The sequence below is a fragment of the Homo sapiens genome, chromosome 4 (assembly GCF_000001405.40).
Source record: "Homo sapiens chromosome 4, GRCh38.p14 Primary Assembly".
Lineage (NCBI taxonomy): Eukaryota > Metazoa > Chordata > Mammalia > Primates > Hominidae > Homo > Homo sapiens.
Genome location: NC_000004.12, coordinates 119116770 through 119139582, shown reverse-complemented (window position 1 = coordinate 119139582; position 22813 = coordinate 119116770). Strand labels below are relative to the sequence as shown.

The following is a 22813-nucleotide window of genomic DNA, read 5'->3' as shown; positions in this document are numbered from 1 at the left end:
CCTTTTATCCTTTCCTACCTCTCTCTCTTCATTCAGTCTTCAAGTTTCACATGAGATACTGAACAAGAGAAAAATATGATTAATACTGGAAAATATGTACAGATTTAGGGGTAAATTGCACAAGGCTCATGGGTGGGGACTATCAGAGGCCATCTTTTCTTGTCTCCACAACTAATTCATGCATAGATAATGGCAAATTATCTTTTGTCTTTTACAATAGCACTTGTTAGATGGTAACAACTGTGGCTGAGATACTTTTATATAAAGCACAGAGGTTTGTCTCACAAGAGTAACCAGGACAGCTTTACCATTAGCTCTGCTTCCGGCCAAGGTGATGATGATGGTAATCATAACTATGATATAATGAGGAAGGTAAATCTAAAAGCAGGCAGCCTGCATGTTTGGGATGCTTTTTATTAGTCAATTGTTGGGAGTGTAGTATATTTGCTTCTAGTACATAATTTGAAACCAAATCACAATGGATTCAAAATGAGCAACAATTTGGGGTTGTGATTAGTGGAGGCTGGGAGTTATCCACCTCTCACTCATTCTATGCAGTTAGCATTATAATCTATATGAAGAGAATTTTTTAATAATTCTTTGAGGTTATCACTCCTGATGGAATGAGGGCTCTGATGTAAAACTCCCCATTTCTGGTTCTTATATTTTTCTAGTGATTTATCTCAAAGACTCACCGGCTGCAATCTCTTTCCCCTACAAGAATGGGATTGAATTTCCACCTCATGTTAAGAGGACAACAAGTGATTTAGCCAACTCATTGTCACATTTTATACTCCTCCAAGCTAAATGTTTTGGTAAGTAGTAATAAAAATTAAATGAGTTATGAGGCTGAAAAAAAATTCTGATGCACAAGGGGAAAGGAGAGAAGGCAGGAGAAGGGGATTTCGACTGGAACATCCTTTTCAATTTATCTTTATAAAGGACAATCCAGGCAAAATTTGATTTATTTAGTCTTACAATTAAGATCAAAGCAGTTGCATGTTTTATCTTAAATTATCCAGATTTTTACTCCTGTAAAATGTTTGAAAGTTTGGAGGATCATTCCCAAAAAAGTTTCTCTGAAGTCCATTTTATTATGCATCCTGAGAAAAAATTATACTCCCCTAGCTCCAGATCTCTAAACATCATGCTATACACAAATAGTAAAGTTCCATATAAAATGTCAGAGGAAATAAGAGAAGAAAAATATTTGAGCGGTTTCATAAAGTACTGAAGTTATTTCATCTGGGATGAGCTTGGAAAGAGTCTGATTATCCCCATGTTATCTGAAATACTTGACATTCCAACAAAGACAGAGCATGTGACTCCTCTTAAGGGAGCTGGTACTCATCCAGTGACATGGGAGGGAGGGCTTCAGCTGACTTTACGTGGCTAGGATTTACTGGTGGTGAGATAGTGGTTTTGAGGGTTTCCCCCACTTTGATATATAATTGTGTGTTTTCTCCCACATATTTTTTATAAAAACAATAGTTATGTTTATAAAAAAAAGGAAAAAAAACTTCTTACCCTTATAGATCTATGTCAGAGCTAACAGTAGATTCCAACACATGATTTAGGCTAGAATACATTAAATGGACTGACTGTTTTATGATTAGGATGTCATTAGAAAATAATAACATGAAAGGTCTATTTTAAGGTAAACAATTTTGTCACAAACTCCAGTGATCATCTGATTTTTGCCACATTGATCAGAAAAGCTAAAAAATAATTTCAAGTAAACTACTTGAATCTGGAAACACAAAGATGCATGAAATTTTAAATAAGGCATGAATTTTGGAACTTTGGATTGGTATGAATTCAGTTCTGGTATCTGACTCAGAATTATTCTCATTTTATTCCAAGCTAATTTGACATTACAGTAAAACATGAGAACCAAGTTGAATCCAGTACAGTGGTTCTGTATTGCAGAAAATAGAAAACAACAACGGACCTCTTAGTTATGATTACATTGCGTGGGGAGCATCTAAAAGTCTTTGATTCTGTTCCTCTTGCTTTATGGAAGGTGTAATATGAAAACATTATGCTCAATACTCTTCCCGGGTCTCAAGCTTCTAGGTCTCAATATTGTAGTGGTGAAAGGCTGCATTCCTTGTCAATACAGGGGAAATAAGGAGGCATTCTGAAAATGCCACTAATATATCTGGAATGGCTCAAATCAGCTCCTAAGAGGACCTGAATATTTTTCTTAACATTTAAAACTGATGCTATACGTTGCTTATAAACAAAGTTGAATTTCCTTTATAAGAATCAAAATGCAAGTTATAAAGCATTGCTTTCTCAAGTTAGTTGCTAGAATTTAAAGAAAAGGAGAGAGTGAAATATTACCTTGCACGTAATATATATTAAAATTTTTTTGAGTCATATGCTTTGAGACTACAATAACTTTATATTTTCTCAGAAGTTACAAATAAAAGTAGACTTTGCACACAAAATATGTTAGTAAATCAATTAACAAATATGAAGGGTTAAATAAATAAGCAATAGAAATGGAGTTAAATAATAAGCAATAAATATGAATTCCAACTTAATAGCTTGATAAAAAAGATGATAGAACTTATTTTGAGTGATTTATATAATGTAAGGTAAAAGAAATCAAGCTAAACCATGTGGGATGGACAATAAAGACAAGATTGTATGAGACTTGTCCAGAAAAAAAAAAGAATCGAGAGTGATCTTAACTTATAATGTGGAAGGCAAGCCAAGCAGAATGTACATCAGCTGTCAGATTGCTTCATGCCTTTTACAGCAGTTGTTCCTCTGAAAATAGCTTCCAAATGAGAAAGGATGACTACAAAAGGATTAGTTACCATAGGCTTTTCTACACCCCCTAGAGCTCCAGGTTTGTTATGACAGAACAGCAAGAATCTAAAGGAAGTAAACTATGGAATATTAAACAACGTCAGGATGGAGCCACATTCATGCTGTGCTATATTAATGCTACGAAGGATTTTTATTGATACCATTTCCATGGACTTCCTTCATGATGGCTGTTGCTTGCTGTTTTCTCTGCTTCATCATAGTATTATGTGATAGCATGGTTTTTTTGTTCCCTGTTAAAAACAAAGGGACATTATTGAGGCAATGTGAAGAACTCATTTGGAGTGTCTTATAATCACTGTTTTGAAAGACAACATCTTTGTTCTTTATTAAAAAGTTATTATCGCTTGCTACTGAAAGACTTCAATACGCATTCCTTATCTGGTGACAGAGTATGTTATTCATTGACAGGCAATGTCACAGTGAACAGAGACCCAGTCTGGACATTAATACAATGATCATCAGGCAGTGAGAAACAATGAAATTGCTGGTCTCCTTTCCCCTCCCTCTCTTTTCTCCACAGTATTTTAGTCTGTCATTGTCTCCTCACTGGCCTTCATTTGTACCAGCATCACACTCCATCAATTCCAGCAAACTGTAAGAATGAAGAAGACACTAGACTAAACCAGAATTCTTTGGTGGTAGCATTTTAATATTGGCAACAGCTGCCCTTTAAAGCAGAGAATGCCCATTTATGAGTCACAACTCTGAATATCCTTGGACAACTGACTAATGAAACATTTTAGGAAACAACATACTCACCTTGCTGTTAGATTGTGCTTTTTCAGCGGGGATGAATCCCAGTTTGTGGAGGAAGACTCTGGAGATGGACTATGGATGGCACTTGGGCCTGATGGTTTTTATCCTTGAACCTGGGACAGCATGGTCCCTACTCTGACTCAAACTGGGGACTGAGCTTTTCTGAAGAGACTGGCATTCAGCTGACATCAACTGGCTATATATAGCACCAAATACTTTAGCTACTCATATCTTCCTGGCGAAAGGGAGGAACAGGGAAAGATTAGGCTCTCTCCATTGTGTTTCTAGTTTGTGAGATGGTTAAATGAAACGTTCATTGGACATGCAGAAAGTTTTTAGTGAGCACTTTCTGTTGAACAGATAGTAGCCAAAAGGGATTTTAAACACTTTTAAACATCTAGCTCTTATGTTACATGTTAATTGAGGTGGCAAGAGACACATGCATGAATCAGAACAGAATGATAGATTTTTCATAATTAAAATGAACAATATAGGCAGTAATATCTATGTAGACTCAAGAAGAAAGGAAGTAATGTGGGGTGGATCAATAGAGCCAGTTCTTAAGCTGTAGTGAGAACTCATGCTAGGTTGAGAAAAGTATGTAGTATTTGAATAGTGAACTCAGGAAGCATTTTGAAATGAACCATTAGAGGATAAGCCATGAAGCTGGGTAAAAGCTGAGACTCATAACTGGGTCATGCTTTTTGAAGGGCCTACAGAGACCAGTCCCTGCAAAGTTGACCAGTCTTTACAATGTCTAGGGTCAAGGATTTTCATTTGCAGGCCTGACAAGATTTGAAAGGTTTGCCTGTCAAAAGGTTTGGCCTCCTTGATGGTCCCTGGACACAAAAACGTGCTCTCATCTCTGGGCTTTTCCTTTTACTGTTTCCCCCTTTCCTTTTACTATTTCCCCCTTTCCCTGGTTGAAATGGTGTCCTCAACAGATAATCATTATGTTAATTTTGGTTTCCAAAATGAAAATAGATACTGTATTCCTTTTACTATTTCCCCCTTCCATACTTTCCCTCTACTCACATGGCACAGTCATGCATTCAGGACTCTGCTCAGATAACAATCCCTCATAAAATCCTTCCCTTATCACCTTGTCTAAAATATCACACTGTGCCACTCTCTAGTCCCTTACTCTGCTTCATTTTCTTTATATTTTTCTATTAGTTAAGATAAAAGTCAAATGGGAGTGACAGAAACCCCCCCAAAACAGAACTGTAAAAAGATGGAAGATGTTTCTCTCACAGGTAAGCTTAGTCTAGAAGTAAGTAATTGAGGGTTTGCATGACTGACATAATTATCAAGGGCTCAGTTACCCTCTAACTTTTTGCTCCACTATCCCTAAAATGCAGACCCCTTGGGCCTAATTGGCTGCCCCAGCTCCAGTCAGCATGCATATATTTCAACCAGCAGGAAAAAGAAAAAAAAATGAGAAGGGAACACTGTCTTCTTTTCAGAACATGTCTGATATTTTGTTCATACTTCTGTTTACATCCCATTGGGCAGAACTTAGCCATATAGCCGTACATAACTCAAGAAAGGTTGGGAAGTGTAGCTTCTATTCTAGGTGGTCATGAGCCCAATTAAAATTCATACATAACTTACTAACAAAGAAATAATTGTTGCTGAGTGACAACTCAGTTTTTTCACTAAGAACATGCCAACATTATTCTATCTATCTATCTATCTATCTATCTATCTATCTATCTATCTATCTATCTATCTAGCAAAAGTTTATGTTATGTACAATTCTAAAGGTTGAAATGGCGTCCTCAACAGTTTTACTAGCACCTGTAATCCCAGCTACTCTGAAGGCTGGGGTGGGAAGATTGCTTGAGTCCAGGAGGTAGAGGTTGCATCTATTTATGTGATATCTCTTTTTTCTACTAAACTATGAATCCTATAATGGCTTGGGCTTTGTATCTTCAGCAGTTGGAATTGTATCTGGCATATGGTAAGCACTCAATATTCATTGAATGAATGAATAAATGAGTAGGTTGGAGATTAACTGCAGAATGCATTAAAGGTTTGGCATGAGTTTGGAATTCAAATGAACAGTCGCTTGAATGTACAAAGGTGGTGGCTATTTGTGGGAGGAATTGTATTTTATAAGATTGAAATCGGTTATACATTTTGGTGCCTGATCATAGGATTGAAAGTTTAAGGTTGTAAATCACAGCACTTTGGGAGGCCAAGGTGGGTGGATCGCTTGAGCCCAGGAGTTTGAGACCAGCCTAGGCCAGCTAGCAAAACTCTGCCTCTACCAAAAAAGCAAAAACAAAAACAAAAAACCCAAAAATTAGCCAGGTGAGTGGCATGCACCTATAATCTCAGCTACTCCAAAGGCTGGGGTGGGAAGATTGCTTGAGTCCAGGAGGTAGAGTTTGCAGTAATCCATGATCAAGCCACCGCACTCCAGCCCGGGCAAGACCAGACCTTGTTTAAAAAAAAAAAAAAAGAGAAAGCTAAAGGTTGTAGATAGCAGGTTTAAGCTAATCTAGCTAACCTATTGCAATTGTTTCTAAACAAACCATTTGCATTGAAAGTATAATTAGGTATCAAATGAGAAACAATTTTGCCAAAGCAAATAAATTTAAATTCCCTCTCAAAATCCCTTGAGTGCCCGTATGTTCCTGGCTGTAGCCTTTACCATAGTATGCTATTAGACAAGTCTTTTAAACTCTGTTTTCTCATCTGTAAAATGGTGATTACAGTATCTATCACATAAAGTCATGGACATTTTACATGGGACAATTTAGAAATTCCTTATACTTAGTAAAAATTTAATAAATGATTTTTTTCCTTTTGCTATTATTATTTCTGCAATATGGTAGGATTTAGAATTTTAGAGTAATCAACTGCATTATTCAGTTAAAAAAACCAAAGATTAAGAGAGTTCTGGTTTTCCTATTTGATCATCTTCATATGTTTCCAACTTTATGTTACATACAGTTCTAAAGGTTGAAATGGTGTCCTCAACAGATAATCATTGTTATATTAATTTTGGTTTCCAAAATGAAAATAGATACTGTATTTTAAAAGATTGTAAAAGTTTTAGTGAATATAAGGTCTTACACCTTTTTGTCTATTTTTCAAATAGATTGTACTTAAAATTCTCTTGCCTTATTTTATAAGTTCATTCTGGTCTCTGAGTTATTATCTGTTCTGAAAAAGAAGAAAGAACAAGTCACTGATGTTGCAGTCTTAAGATGGGATATGCTATCCATGTGCTTCACAGCACAAATGGTGAACTTTAAACAGAACTTTAATGGTTATTTACAAAGCATTTTCAGGTGGTCCATACTGAAAGCCAATGCCTTTTAATTTTAAATCAAGTCACAGTTAATCGATTTCTATTTCATCTGCACAGAGATCTGGTACTAGACAAAATTAAAATTCAGCCCAAATTCGTCATACTGAGATCATCGTTTGTCCTCAGCTCACACCCTCCCACCCCATGACCACACACACACACTATAGACTAGAAAAGGATGTCTCCTACCCCCAGAGACTCGATTCCTACCCTTGCCCTACTACTCATTCCTTCCCTTGAAGCTTCTCCTTCACCCCAGTTTAAGCAGAGTAGTACTTTATCTTTCTTTCAAGGCCCGAAGTATTTTAAAATAACTGGTGCTAAAGACAGAAGATACAATCTTTTCTTACAGGCAAAATAATAGGATTCTAATGGCAGAAACTTGTGCCTTAGGAGGCTAGTGAGAAAGAAGTTTTTGACAGAGATTTTCAACACCTCTATAACCAAACTATTTCCACTGCCGGGGCTGGCCACAGTTGCATTTCCAACTCCTTCACCACTTGCCAAAAGAGAAAAAAAGATTAAATAAAGTGACTTTTATTGCTATATTGCTACCTAACAAAAATCCACATCATGAGGACTCATGAAAGGCAACCTTATTCAGCCAGTGGTAAACATGAGCACTTTAGCCAACTGGTAAACAAAGTCTACATCGACCTTCCTCTAATTGAGCACTTGTTTTTTAATTCTGTGTTTCTCTTGTCCCATTGACAGTCTATATTAGGTGGCTGTGGGCAGTTAGAGATTAGGGGAGGATTGGGGAGGTAGGCAGAATGTGGGAACTCACCGTTTGCTAGGTGGGCAGACAAAACATTGCCATTATTGAGGCTCGGCTCTGGACTGAGGCACACATAACCCAAACAGGACAGCTGCCAGACCAGTGTTGAGTGACCAGTCTGAGGGGACAATCAGTTCTTTACCAGCCTTCAGGGCCTCAGTTACAGTGCTAACTCTGGGAGGAAGGAATCTGTTTGAAAATATAACAAAGGTGGTGTAAACAACTCACCTTTGGTGAGATTGTCTATGGAAGCATGGCCTTCGGTTTGTGCAAAATACTCTGTGCTTCATTCTTGATGCATAATTGGCCTGCTGTGTCTTCCATGGTTTCTATTTTCCTACACTGAGGAGGATCCAGCCTATAACTGACCTCCTTAGCAGGCCATAGCAAGGGCAGAATAGGAATAGGCATTGACGGGGTAATCATTCTACCAGCTAATGTGGGACAGCACAAAAAAGACAGATGAGTTTTCAACTGGTCTCATTACCATAAAGGCCTAAGGGTAACAAGAGTGTTAAGAGGAAAAATTCCAACCACTATTCAGTTAATGTTTGCTAGGCACGGTTAGCCCTGTTTTACAGATAAGAAAACTGAAGTTCTGAGAGAGTAAGTAAAACCCCCAAAGCGTCATACTTGTATGTTACAGAGACGGAATTACAAATTGGTTCTGTCTGATCTGAAGGCTTTTGTTTTTTTCACCATATTGTGCAGACATCTCTGTTTCCTTCATCTTCTCTAAATACCTCTGCATTGATATCTATATAACAAAAATGAAGCAGAGTTGAGAATTGTCAGAAAATTCTCCTTACTAATTTCCTCTGGAATTTAACATCCTAATATTAGGTTTATTTGGGGTGAGGTGCTTTTTACTTATAATATTTGTGGCTCTTTTCCAACTCATGTTTTTCTTGTTTGCAAACTTCTAGAGTTCCTCATGATGTCTATTCTCAGGGTGCTTTCCTTTCCTTCAGCTGTGCAAATACTAAAGTGATTAAAATGCCTAACATAAACAAATGGAAGCCATTTGCTGTGCAGACCTCTCCTTCCTTTCCTGGCCCATGTACCACACCATCACAAACACACTTACCACCTTCACTGCCAACAATGAGAATTAAATCTAACTCCATCCAAATAATTTGTTCATATGAAAGCCCCATGTTATACCTGTCTTTCTTTGTAAATTTATTTCTTTTACCGAAGTATTTCCTTCTAAGCTCTTAAATCGAGCCTTAAGATAAGCTGGGAAGAAGAAGGGATAAGCAGAGGCTGATGACCAGCTTGTCGAGGACATGAGCTAATGTAATAGGGTTGGGAACTTGGAAAGAAAGTTTCAAATACAGGAATATTAAGAAACAAGCTGCCAAAGCAAACCGCAAGTCACTTTTTTCCTTTGCTTGCATAATCCCAACACTTATCCAGAACTTTGTCACATTTCCTTTCACAATTAGAGCCAGGCTATAGTTTTCCTATATAGTACAGATTCAAAATACTGAAACTTTTTAAGTTTTCTCACCTGCAAGAAAATCTCGTCCTTCTCTTACATACAAATTTAGCATGACCTAATTAAGTTAAAAAGTTCAATAAAGAAAACATGAAGCTGTTTGTTCAAAAAAGAGTATATACAGGCCAGGCGCGGTGGCTCACGCCTGTAATCCCAGTACTTTGGGAGGCCGAGATGGGCGGATCACGAGGTCAGGAGATTGAGACCATCGTGGCTAACACGATGAAACCCCGTCTCTACTGAAAATACAAAAAAATTATCCGGGCATGGTGGCGGGCGCCTGTAATTCCAGCAGCTACTCGGGAGGCTGAGGCAGGAGAATGGCGTGAACCCGGGAGGCGGAGCTTGCAGTGAGCCAAGATTGCGCCACTGCACTCCAGCCTGGGCGACAGAGCAAGACTCCGTCTCCAAAAAAACAAAAAACAGAAAACAAACAAACAAAAACGTATATACAGCTGGGTGCAGTGGCTCACACCTGTAATCCCAACACTTTGGGAGGCTGAGGAGGGTGGATCATTTGAGGTCAGGAGTTTAAGACCAGCCTGACCAACATGGTGAAACCCTGTCTCCACTAAAATACCAAAATTAGCTGGTCATGGTGGTGGGTGCCATAATCTTAGCTACCCGGGAGGCTGAGGCAGGAGAATCGCTTGAACCCAGGAGTCCGAGGTTGCAGTGAGCCAAGATTGCACCACAGCACTCTAGCCTAGGTGACACAGTGAGACTCCCTCTCAAAAAAATAAAAATAAAAAAGAGTATATAGTCAAGAAATTTAGTGACAGAGCCTAGATCTCACAGCAATGTATCACATGCCAGAGCATCTGCAGCATGACTATAAAAGACGAACAAGCACATTATTAACAGTCCAAGGCTGTTGCATTGCTTAGTACTTATCATAATGCCTGGTATATATTGAGTAACAAATGTTAGCCATTATTGTTATTAGCATGAAAAACTTTAACTTTCATATAAAATTATGAAAAGATGTTATCAAAATATGTAAAGTCACTGTATTAGTCTATTCTCATGCTGCTGATAAAGACATACCAGAGACTGGGTAATTTATAAAGAAAAAGAGGTTTAACGGACTCACAGTTCCACGTGGCTGGGGAGACCTCACACTCATGGTAGAAGAGCAAGGGATGTCTTACATGGTGGCAGGTAAGAGAGAATGGGAGCCACACAGAAGGGGAAGCCTCTTATAAAATCATTAGATCTCATGAGATTTATTCACTACCATGAGAACAGTATGGGGGAAGCTGTCCCCATGATTCAATTATTTCCACCGGGTCCCTCCCACAACACATGGGAATTATGGGAGCTACAATTCAAGATGAGATTTGGGTGGGGACACAGCCAAACAATATCAGTCACCTTAAATAAAAATGGCTTAAACCCCATTTGCAGATGAGGCAGTGAGAGATTAAGTCACATGTTAAAGGTCACACACAGAGAAAAAATAGAATGGTTCCTTAACTGAGAAAGATATTGATGTAACTTGATTTGTGATATTATTAATATAAATAAAGCTTGTGTAGCTCAGAGGAGAGATTGCTGAGAAATAAGGCACCCAGCAATAAACAGTGAAGAACCTGGAATATTTGATAAGCGTATACTAATATGGACATGATATATTGATGAATTAGAACCTGATATCATTTACAAAATATGAGTTGTATAAATCTCTTTATTCTAATTTTATGCTTACCATCCAAACTTCCACTAATCCATTGGTTTTCCATGTAGTTTGCTAGAATCCAAATCCACCTGCTTTTTCTCATTAAAGTATGCTGCAATTTGAGAGTAAAACATTCAGCGCCTAGTAAGTTTGTTGAATAAATGAATGAATGAATAAGAAAAAGAAAGACACTGGAACAGAAACGGAAGAGCAAAGTTCAAAAGAAAAGAGAATTTTTAGGCACTGCCAAGATCTGCACAAAAGTCACAGAGAAAGACACATGAGAAAAGGTCACTTGATTTGGCAAGAAGTAGGTCATCGGCAGAATTTAGAGACACTTCTGTAATGTGGTGGTAACAGAATCCAAATAGAAGGGATTTAAGATAAGAATGAGTGGATGGGAAGTGCATGCGGCAAATGGCAACTATGTATTTGAAAGGACTGGCTGTGAACTGAGGAGAGAGAGAGAGTTCAATTTCTAGAAGGGAAAGCAAGTTCTACAAGCATATGTGAGTTTGTGTGTGTGTGTGTATGTGTGTGTGTGTTTCAGAAGCAGAAACTTGAACATACTTAGAGATAAAAGAGAAACAAACACTGGTGTATAAAACAGTAATAATTCTGACGATGCGAGATTTGGGGTAGTTCACTTCCAAGGCTATGATGGTTGATTAGTGGAGAGAACCAGTGCTCTAATGTTTTATTCTTTAGTAGATGGAGTCACTTTGTAACCCCAGTGTTTAAAATAGTTCTGGCATATGGTAGGCATGTGGCAATATTTGTTGGATAATGCAGCATAACGCTTGGCATATAGCAGGAATGCAATGTATATTAGTTTTTTCTCTCACTCTTGGCTCAATCATCCATTCTTCATTCTTATCACCTGATTCCCTGATCTGCAGTGGTAGGGCAAGAAGGGATGGTGGTTTTGAGACCTTTAGCTCCGTTATTTTATATTAGTCCTCTTGAAACTGAAATGGTGTACATGCTCCAAAAACAAAGCTTCATTGCCTCTCAAAATAAACATGAACATTTTAAGTTAAAAATGCATCATCAATATTTCATTTTACTTGAAACATTTTATTCCTTGAGTCCAAAAGAATATATACTCCTGGTTTTCCTCCTCTACTTTTTCTCAGTGTATTCATTCAATAAGTATTTATTAAGCAACTGTCATATACCAGGTATATGACAGCTCTAGGTGTTGAGAGGTAAGTACAGTTTTGGGCCGGGCACGGTGGCTCACGCCTGTAATCCAAGCACTTTGGGAGGCTGAGGGGGGCGGATCACCTGAGATCGGGAGTTTAAGACCAGCCTGACTAACATAGAGAAACCCTGCCTCTGCTAAAAGTACAAAATTAGCCGGGCGTGGTGGCACATGCCTGTAATCCCAGGCAGGAGAATCGCTTAAACCCAGGAAGCGGATGTTGCGGTGAGCCAAGATCGTGCCATTGCACTCCAGCCTGGGCAACAAGAGCGAAACGCGAAACTCCATCTCAAAAAAAAAAAAAAGTAAGTACAATTTTAAAACTTTCCATTCCAATGGAGCTTATCTTCTAGTGGGAGAAACAGGCACTGGACAAGAAAAACTAGTGAAGTGTACTGTATGTTAGAGAATAAGAAGTATTATACTAAGAAAAAATAGTAGAGAAGCCAGGCAGCATTGTTTGGGGAGAAATTGTGATTTAGATAGGATGACCAAGGAAGGCCTCACTTAGAAGGTGGCATGTAAGTAAAGACCTGAAGGAAATGCAGAAGCAAGCCATGAGGATTTATTAAGGGAAGAATATCTCAGGCAGAATGAGCAGTTACAAAGGCCTTGAGGTGGGGATATAGTTAGGTATATTTGAAGGAAGTGAAGAGGCTAGTGTAACTAGAGCCATGTAAGGGAGAGAGAAGTTAGGAGGTAGCACAGGCCCATCAGCCATAGTACTTTGCTTTTGCTCTACCTGAGATAGGAAGCTGTGAGAGAGTTTTGCACAGAGAAAAGACAATACAACTTCCTGTCCTAACAGGACCACTGTGTTTGCTTTGTGGAGAATGGATCACAGTAAGACAAGGAGAGAAGCAAGGAGACCATTTAGAAAGCTATGTGATAATCTAGGAAAGATAGAGGGTGGCTTGGTTCTACGTGCACTGATGCATGTGTAGGTGGTGAGATGTGGTCAGATTCTGGAAGGCAGAACCAATAGGATTTGCTGATGGATTGGATATTAGGATGTGAGAGGGAGAATGACTGCAAGTTTGGGGACCTGAGCAATGGGAAGGACAGAGTTGCTATTCTCTGAGATTTGGAAGACTCTAAAAAGATTGAGTTTTGAAGAGAATGTCAGAAATTCAAATTTGAACATTAATTTTGAGATGTCTAAATGGGACATCATTGAGAAATGAATAAATGGAAAAACAATATAAGAGAACATAGTCTGCTTGCTATATGAGTACTGCTTCAAGACTTGTTTCCAAGTGGAGACATAAAGTAACCAACTGGATTTTAGAACTTGAATTTTAGAGAAGTCTGGGATACAAATATAAATTTGAGAGTGTTCAGCACTTGTATTTAAAGCCTTGAGATGGTTCCTATTCTGCAATTCAAGCTCTTAATGTTGAAATACTGCAGGGCTCAGTCTTTGAACCTTTTCTCTTTTCTGCCTACACTCTGTTATCTCTTGTTCTTTCCTCTTTTTCTATATTCCTTATCAAATCTGGTCAGCAAATCTGGAATATATTTGCAACTGAAATGCTCTCATGAAGTTTACTGTTATCACCCTGATCCATCTCTCTTGCCTAGATTATTGCAATAACCTAATAACTGATGACCTACTTCCATGCATATCTTACTTCAGTCTCTTCTCACAAGGTAGCCAGAACCTTTTAAAATTTTAAATCAGACAGTTCAACTCCTCTGCTCAAAATGCTCCAGTGGTTTCCTATTTTAGGCAGAGTAAATGCCAGTTCTCATCATGACCTAAAAATGCCAGTCCTTATATTGGCCTAAAAATGCCCTATGCAATCTTATATTCTGATAACTCTCTGGCTACACCTATTCTTAACTCTCTTGCTCTTACTGCAGTAGCCCCAGCTTCTTTGCTTTTCTCAGACATCCCAGGTTATTTTCTCTGCCTGAAGCGCTGTCCGCATATCTGCACCACTTTCTCTCAAACCACTTTGAGGTTTTCACTCAATGCCACCTTCTCCGTGGTGCATTTCTTGACTTTCCACTTTAAAAAATCAAAACCCTCCACCCCAGAACTCACTATTCTTCCCTGAATTATTTTTCTTCATAATGCTTATCACTATCTAACATATTAATGTCATATTAATGAAAGTATGGATCATTGCCTGTTTTGTTCTCTGGTTAATTCCCTAGCACCAAGAATAGTGTCTGACACATAGTTGACATGTAATTGACTTTTTGTCTTGTTTTGTTTTGTTTTTGAGATAGAGTCTCGCTCTGTTGTCAGGCTGGAGTGCAGTGGTGCAATCTTGGCTCACTGCAACCTCCGCCTCCTGGATTCAAGTGATTCTCCTGCCTCAGCCTCCCGAGTAGCTAGGACTACAGGCGTGCACCACCACGCCCAGCTAATTTTTATATTTTTAGTAGAGACGGGGTTTCACCATGTTGGCCAGGATGGTCTCGGTCTCTTGACCTCGTGATCTGCCCACCTCAGCCTCCCAAACTGCTGGGATTACAGGCGTGAGCCACCACACCCGGGCAATATTTTTTATAAATGGAAGAATGAATAAATGGAATAAACATGCAATCTAAGAGAACATAGTCTCCTTGCCATATGAGTGTTGCTTCAGGACTAGTTTCCCACCTAGACCCTCTTCCCTCAAATTTCCTTCTAGGCTCCTTCTAAATAAAATGCTGAAATGCCCATAGATGGTACATGCAGTAGGGAGTACATGCAGTTGGGGCTCAAGAGGCCTCTTTAGGGCATACCTATGGCAGGCATTTATAAAAATGAGGAAAATATGGTTCCTGTTTTCAAGAAATTCATAGTCCAATTGAGAATACAGTTGTGTAAGAGCATGTGACTTGCATTAAAAGAAAACATTTTAAATATTCACAACTTTCCCTTTGACTGCCAGTTCTTAAAGAGCTTGGAGTTTTGTGAGCCTTGGGCAGCTGACAAAAAAGCCTGTGGTTTTTGTTGATCTGATAAGGGTAATGAGGAGAACTGCAGATTTCAAAGAAGCTGGGCAAGTTTGATTGATTTACATTAAAAAGGGGGAGGAGTGTCTCAAGAAAGTTTTTCTTCTTGAAGAAGCAAGGCCAGATGGGAAAGGAAGGAATTGGGTGGTATTAGTAAGAGGAAGGAGTATGATTAACAAATAAGTATGCACTGACATTTTGGCAATAAGGTGCATGGGGTGGCGGGGGAGTGGGGAAGAAAACAAGCTTCTATAAGGATTAGAGAAAACGGAGTGAGGCAAAGGAAATGTCCTGGTTTTCTTCTTAAAATATCTCAGTTTTAAGATCACTTTTTTCCTTTGAAAGCATCTAAATGACTTGATTGCAAATGTACCTCTGAGAACCTGAATGAATTTAGTGTTGCTATTTGACTGTTGGAAAATGTCTTCTTTCAAAAGGATTATTTCAGTTTTGCCTATTTACTATACAGTAGTCCATTCTATTAAAAGAAAAACTTTGGACAGATTACATTTAACAGAGTTTAATTGAACAAAGAACAATTCTCTAATAGGAAAACACTCAGAACCAGAAGAGGTTCAGAGAACTCTGCTCGACAATGTGGACAGGCAATATTTACAGATAGAGAAAAAGAAGTGAGGTACAGAAATAGCTAGATTAGTTACAGCTCTCAGTTTGCTGTATTTGTGCATGGTCTGATCAGGTATCAATCTGAGATTGGCTGAAGCTCAGCTTCTGTGATGGCTGAGACTCAGCCATTTGTTACAAAAGAATATACTACTAAATCAGGCTTTCAGTTTATTTAGGTACCAAGCTAGGTTGCAATTCCTTATGACTATAAGCAGCAAAGATCATGGGGCTAAAAACTGTTCCTGGTTTTAATCAAACTGTGTCATGAGCTAGAGGAGAATGTTTGTGAAGGGATCAATTGTATCCAGCACTTTTACAAATGAAATCTGTGAATCTATCTATACATGAAACTTCTGTCTCGTAGGTATTGCATTTGTACTTTCATTAATTACTCTAATACTTTCTTCCCTCTTTTTCTCTTTTGCTGTTTTCCTTTTTGTTTTATTTTTTGGCTTAAATTTGATGTTATGATATTTTTATACCATAACAATTGTAAAATGTTATTAATATCTCCTGTTTTTCCCTTTTTACTTTTCATCCTTTTGTGCACGGACCCATTAGCTAACTGATGAGACAGCTCAAGGGAATTCTGAGTTTGGGATTTCTGGAACAAATTGGTGGGTGAGGATATGTTATAAAAAATCTCCACAGTTCATTCTGATAATTTATTGACTAGAATACTGGGGCTCTGGGACTATTGTGCAAATAATCAGAAGATCCCGGTTGATTCTAAGGACAGGGAAATATGTATGCAGTTGGCTCTCTGAATTTGTGGGTTCAGTATCCACAAATCCACAACCAACCCTGGATCAAAAATACATTTAAAAAATAAAAAAAGGCAATATAACGATTTAAAAAAACACAAAACCAATACAACTGTTTTTAAGTATTAACATTGTATTAGGTATTATAAGTAATCTAGAGATAATTTAAAGTATACAAGAGAATGTGCATAGGTAATATGCAAATAGTACACCATAAGAGACTTGAACATATATGGATTTATTATACAAGTGGGGGAAGGAGTCCTGGAATCATCCCTGTGGATACTGAAGGATGACTATCTATAGAGGGAAGCATCATCATCACCACCATCATCATCACCACCATCACCATTCCCATCAAGCTGTTTTCTTCATTGTAGCAGCTATGATTTCTATACCACTTATGATGTGTCATGGACTGTTCTTGGTGTTTCTTGTACATTGACTCTTTCGTTTTCACAACACTCCAGATAAACACTGTTATCATCTACATTGTATAGGTAAGGAAACAGAGACAAACAAAACAAAGTAATTTTCCTTGCCTTCGGTTACACAGCTCATGAGCGATGTTGCCACAACTCAAACCCAGACAGTCTGGCATTACAGTATCTGCCCTTTACATGAGGGTCTTTAAATGAGGGTCTAAACTTCATATTAATATTAATGGGGAATTAATATTTCTCCATTAAATTTAAAACTCCTTGAAGGCCGACATGTCTCTTATTCCTACTGGCGTGCCTGTTACCTTATGCACACTGGGTGCGAAGTTTGTACTTGCTGTGAAAACAAATGAATATGTTTTAGGAATGAAGCCATTAGCAAAGGAAAGAGAAAGACCTGAATAACAAATTTAGCTGATTCTGAGGCAGATTCTACTTCCTGTGTGCAGAAAATTTACGAAGAAGCCATGAATCTCTGGAAACATTCTGGAAACCTAGGATTGAAGTATAAAATCTGTAAGTACTGTCTCTCAACTCCTCTAGACAAAAATCCTTTACATACTCTGTGCCAGACACTATACACACTGGGCACACAAAAGTGAATAACATCCAGTCTCTGATCTCTTGCAAATCAGGGATACGGATTAATTTTAGAAAACAATACAGATCAGTTATCTCATAATTACAATATCCTGTAATTGGAGCTATGGTAAAGTAAGCACAGATACCATCAACCATTAGTCGAAAGGCCTCTCTCAGGGCAGGTGAGCTTCAAAGAGGTGCTCTTTGCTTTGGGATGATGCAGCCTGAACCATCTAATCTTCAGGATTTTTATTCAAGGCACATACTGCGCAGCATATGCAGGAACTTTGCCAATGTGGGAGATTTTGCACCAAAACCTGGCCTACTCAGCTAGGGGGTAGGAGGGAGCTCCAGGAGAGACAGGAAAGTAAAGCTAAGGATTCTTCCTAAGGTGTAAGACACGCCCCTCCCAACAGCCAAGTCTTTCCTTATGCATGCCCCCGCCTGCAATAAGGTACAGCAACTGAAAATGCCCTCTGTGGCCGGGCGCCGTGGCTCACGCCTGTAATCCCAGCACTTTGGGAGGCCGAGGAGGGCGGATCACGAGGTCAGGAGACAGAGACCATCCTGGCTAACACGGTGAAACCCCGTCTCTACTAAAAATACAAAAAGATAGCCGGGCGTGGTGGCGGGTGCCTTTAGTCCCAGCTACTCGGGAGGCTGAGGCAAGAGAATGGCATGAACCCAGGAGGCGGAGTTTCCAGTGAGCCAAGATTGCGCCACTGCACTCCAGCCTGGGCGACAGAGCGAGACTCCGTCTCAAAAAAAAAGAAAAGAGAAAAAAGAAAATGCCCTCTGTGTGAAGAAAGGCCCAGATAAATTTAACTCTGTCCCTCAGACAACAGAAATAGAAGAATTTTTCACTTAAGAGTTTGTCCTTTACCAAGTTTACTAAGAAATTACAGAAGTTAAAAACTTGCTTATTTAGTAAATAGCCTATGTATTTAGAAATAGTTTTCTTTTCTAATGGTCTCTTTTCCCCATTTTATTATGAAAATATGAGAGTTATATGTAAGTTACAAAGTATAATTTTAAAATGAATACTTTTGAAAGCATTGCTCAACTTAAGAAATAGAATATTATTATGCTATTGAAGATCATTATCTGTCCCATTGCATCTACTGCTGTTTCCTTGTCTCTCCCCAGAAATACCCACTGATACATATTTTAAGTATTCTTCAGCAACTTTTTTTCACTGAAAAAAAAAATTTAAAATCCATCCATGTAATATGTAGCTGTAGTTTACTCATTTTTCACTACAGTTTAGTTCTCCATTCTATGAATATGCTCTATCACATTTAACAATCCAATATCTTATTGACAGACATTTGGTCTTTGACTTTGCAAGCAATGCTGCTACCAACACTCTTGTACATGTTTCTTGGAAACTTGTGCAAAAGCTTTTCTAGAGAATTAACCTAGGAGTTAAAATCATAGATAGTAATGATTGTACCAATTTATTTTCTCACCTGGAGAGTAGGTTAGACTCTAGTGTTGTTACCATCCATGTGGGCATGAACTGGTATATTGTGGTTTCATTTGTATCTCTCTGGTTACTAAAATGACATCATGTTCTTTTCCAATGTTTATTGGGACATTCATTCATATTTTCTCTTCCAAAATATATCTGTTCCTATTTTTGTCTATTTTTCTATTGGGTTATTTGCCATCTTCATCTTGATTTTTTAAGGAATTGATAAATAGTCTGGTTACTGATCCTTTGTTAGCTATTTGTGTGGCAAAAATCTTCGTTCAGATTCTGGTTTGCCTTTTCAACTTTGTTTTAACAGTTAAAAAAATTCCTGGGTGAAACAAAAGTTTAACCTTTTATGTGTTTGAGTATATCAATCTTTTACTTTATGGTTGATGCTTTTTCTGTCTTTCCTAACCTGAAGTCATAGACATATTCTATTCTATTTTCTTCCAAAACTTACAAAATTTTCCTCTTTCACATTCAAGACTGTACTCCATCTGAAATTAATTTCTTATGGGGTATGAAGTAGCAATCCAATTTCATTTAATTTTTTTTTTTTTTTAAGATGGAGTTTCCTTCTGTCGCTGGCTGGAGTGCAATGGCATGATCTTGGCTCACCACAACCTCCAGCTCCCGGATTCAAGAGATTCTCCTGCCTCAGCCTCCCAAGTAGCTGGGACTACAGGTGCCTGCCACCACGCCCAGCTAATTTTTGTATTTTTAGTAGAGACCGGGTTTCACCATATTGGCCAGGATGGTCTTGATCTCTTGGCCTCGTGATCCACCCACCTCGGCCTCCCAAAATGCTGGGATTACAGGCGTGAGCCACCACGCCAGTCAATCCAATTTAATTTTATACTCACATGGATAACACTTGTCCTAGCTTAATTATTGAATTGTCCATCTTTTCTAGCACTTGTTCTTCCTCTATAAGAAGATCTTGGTTTATCTTGGCTCTTCCATATACATTTTAGAATCATGTTGTGAAGGTCAAGAACCGTGAAGATGCTGAAATTTTTACCCTACTTACGAAACCAACATGTTAGTTCCGTGGATGGAGTTCCACGATGCTGGAAGAAGACATGAACTCCTGGGTCAGAGATAAAGGACTTTACTTAAGGAAGAGCAAGCAGCGTGAGTTTTGTATTAGCATCAGTTCTTGTCTCTTAAGTCCCATGGGGGTGATGCAGATGGGCTCAGATGGATGCCTGCATATACACTGTAATGGGTTGCATTATAGGAGAACCCTGAACTTGGGGAAACTGAATTGTTTATATTGGGCAGTAAGTAAACCTGCCTTTTCCTCTGAAAGAGACACTACCTTCTTTATATTAGACAATAAATTAAACTGCTCTTTGCTGCAGAGGAGGATACCATATTGTCTAAGGCTGTTCACTATACAGACATCCCTGATAAGACAGTCCAGAACAAAGGGCAATCAGTGTCTCTCTTATCTTTTAATTTTTAAAGCATTCACTTATTAATTTAAAAATCTCTGTTATACCTGCAGTACTCCCACTTCTCATTCCTAGTAGCTTATTTTTACTTCATCACTTTTTCCCTTATTCAATCTTACCAGAGGTTTGTTCAGTTTGTCAATGTTTCCAAATACCAACACTTCATTTTATTGCTTCTGTACTTGACTTTTTTTTTTTATTTCATAGCTTTCTGTTCTTTTTGATATTATTTTCCTTTTCCAACTTTCATCGGGTTCATTTATTATTTAGTTATGGTAGTTAAAATTTTTTATGATACCTTTCTCTTTAACTCCTGAATCACCAGAATTGTGTTTAAAAATTTGCAAACAGAAATAATTATTTTTAGCTATTATTTTAATTTATGTGTTTTCATGATAAGCTCTCAGCTGTAAAAAAAAAAAAAAACAAATTTGAGAGGGCTGAACACAATACAAGTTTATTTCTTATTCATTCGAAGTCCAACATAAATGTTTCTATATATGACACAGAAAGCAAGTTCCTTCCCTTTGAGATTGCCAACATTCTCAACAAGTATCCCTGTGTGCTTTTGATGAAGAGGAAGGAACAGTATGGAAGATTTCACAGGATATTCTGTGGTCAGGCCTGCAAGTACATGCGTCACTTCTGCCCACATTCATAAGGACAGAGCTAAGTCTCATAAATACAAGGAAGGTGAAAATGTGATTTAACTGTATGCCTAGCACAGAAAGGAGAATCAGAATCCCTGCCACATTTTCTAATGTAACTACATTATGGTCATAACATGTGTTCTGTATGATATCAGTTCTTTGAAAAATTTAAGACACAGCCCATTTTTGCAAGTGTTTTTTTGTGTGTGTTGGAAAATAATGTATATTTTCCAATTACTAAATGCAAGTGTCTGTATATGTATATCAACTAAATCAAAGTTGTTGATTTTATTGTTCAAATTATTTGCATCCTATTGGTTTTCCTTACCTACTTTATGCATTAATAGCTAAGAGATATGTATTAAAAATTTCCCACAGTGTTGGTGGATTTGTCAATTTCTCCATAGGTTTTAAAATTTATATGCAATTTATTTTGAGGCTATGATATTAAACAATGTAAATTTGCAAATGTGATCTCTTTTTATTATATTCTTTATTTTTATAGAGTTCTCTTATTAGTATTTTTTTCCTTTAAAGAATATTTTGACTGATATTAATTATGGTCATATTACTTTTTTTTTTTGGTTAAATTTGCCGGGTTCTCCTTCTGAAACTTTGATTAGATATTTTGGACTTTCTCACTCTATTCTTCTTGTGTCTTCAACTCTTTTAAAATATTTTGCATCTTTTTATCTCTATTGCTTTATTCTTTTTCTTCTTTTGCAGAAGAACATTCCATTTTATTAATTCTCTACTCCATTGTATCCAAGTTATTTAACCTTTACATTGAATTTTTACTTTTAATTATTATACTTTTTACTTCTAGGAGAACTTTGCCCTCAAATTCTGCCTGATTTCTTGCTGATTAGTCATATTTTTACCTCTTTCTTGTTTAAAAAATTTTTTTCCTTAAACACATAATTTTTCTAAAAAATTTATAATATATTCCCTATATTTGTACATTTCCAATATTCAAGTTTCTGTTGTTTATTATTTCTGTGACACTTGCATGCAATGGCTTAGTTCAAATGTATTTTGTGATTTTTTAAAATTGATTCTGAAGTTGTATTCGCAATAAAACACAATCCTTTGCACTTTTCTAATAAATACCAAGGTTGTGGATTCATTTCTCTAGGGAAAATCTGTGTTTCTTTTTGCCACATGTCTGCAGACATTACAGGTCTGGAACTAGTTTAAAATGAGTCCAGAAAGGAAAACTTTCAGCTTGTAATTTTCCTTACCATGTAAACAGTGCAAATTTTGATCCTAAATTCATGTCTGGACTTTCCAGTGGTACAGATTCTCAGGAGAGCCTTTTCTCCCACAGTCAAATCTTTGCCAGACACTTTTGCTTGCTGCCTTCCTGTGTGAGGGGTCATTTGTTTACTTATGTTGTTCTAGTGAACTCTTTTCCATGTGCTGACCTTCCTGCGCATGGCTTCTGTGCTGGTGGTCACTAATGAAACTCTCTGCTCTCTGAAAATGCAAAGTTCCCGGCAGCCTGGATGTGTGGGTACTCCCAGGGAACCCAGTTGCTGCAGTGCTCACTTATTTCCCTAAATTTAGATTCTTACTTAATTCCTGAGAGCCTCTTCCATTCATTTTAAAAGAGCTTTTAATATTTTATCTAACTTTTTTTCAATGACCTAAGACATGAATTTTTCTTTTATTTTTCCAACTTGCATTTAAATACAGTTGGAAAATAGTACAGATATTTGTAGGAGATACCATTTTTTTCAGTTTGTTACCAATGCTGAGTGCCTTAATGAATTGTGGATCTCTTGAAATGA

General features: G+C 37.7%; 1 protein-coding gene and 2 long non-coding RNA genes across 8 annotated transcripts in view, besides 1 other annotated feature; 1 reads left to right on the top strand and 2 right to left on the bottom strand.

Moving 5' to 3' along the window:
- The window catches only part of MYOZ2 (myozenin 2), a 51958-nt gene extending 48207 nt beyond the window's left edge, over window positions 1-3751 (bottom strand). For all 3 annotated transcript variants that reach the window (NM_001440645.1, NM_016599.5, NM_001440646.1), the window contains exons 1-2: window positions 3601-3751; window positions 2982-3071 (exon numbers count right to left, since the gene is read on the bottom strand). In NM_001440645.1, coding sequence (NP_001427574.1) covers window positions 2982-3057 — 76 coding nt within the window. In that variant the 5' untranslated portion in view covers window positions 3058-3071; window positions 3601-3751. The remainder of the gene's footprint in view (window positions 1-2981; window positions 3072-3600) is intronic.
- Window positions 6029-22813, bottom strand: part of LOC102723967 (uncharacterized) — a 33423-nt gene continuing 16638 nt past the window's right edge. The window contains exon 3 of the long non-coding RNA XR_001741422.1: window positions 6029-6771. This is a non-coding gene — a long non-coding RNA (uncharacterized LOC102723967). The remainder of the gene's footprint in view (window positions 6772-22813) is intronic.
- On the top strand, window positions 10981-21470 carry LOC105377395 (uncharacterized). Of its 4 annotated transcripts, XR_007058251.1 has the most exons (5): window positions 10981-11385; window positions 17225-17376; window positions 19482-19601; window positions 19891-20050; window positions 20883-21470. It is a non-coding gene; the product is annotated as an uncharacterized LOC105377395 (long non-coding RNA). The 4 variants fall into 4 exon arrangements; XR_007058249.1 differs by lacking the exon at window positions 20883-21470 and having other exon boundaries at window positions 17310-17376; window positions 19891-20692; XR_007058250.1 differs by lacking the exon at window positions 20883-21470 and having other exon boundaries at window positions 19891-20692.
- Window positions 17514-18013: an enhancer, noted in NCBI's record as "H3K4me1 hESC enhancer chr4:120042725-120043224 (GRCh37/hg19 assembly coordinates)". NCBI's record gives its function as "activates a minimal SCP1, AML or CMV promoter by ChIP-STARR-seq in primed H9 embryonic stem cells {active_cell/tissue: H9 hESC(primed)}" and the evidence as "EXISTENCE:reporter gene assay evidence [ECO:0000049][PMID:30033119]".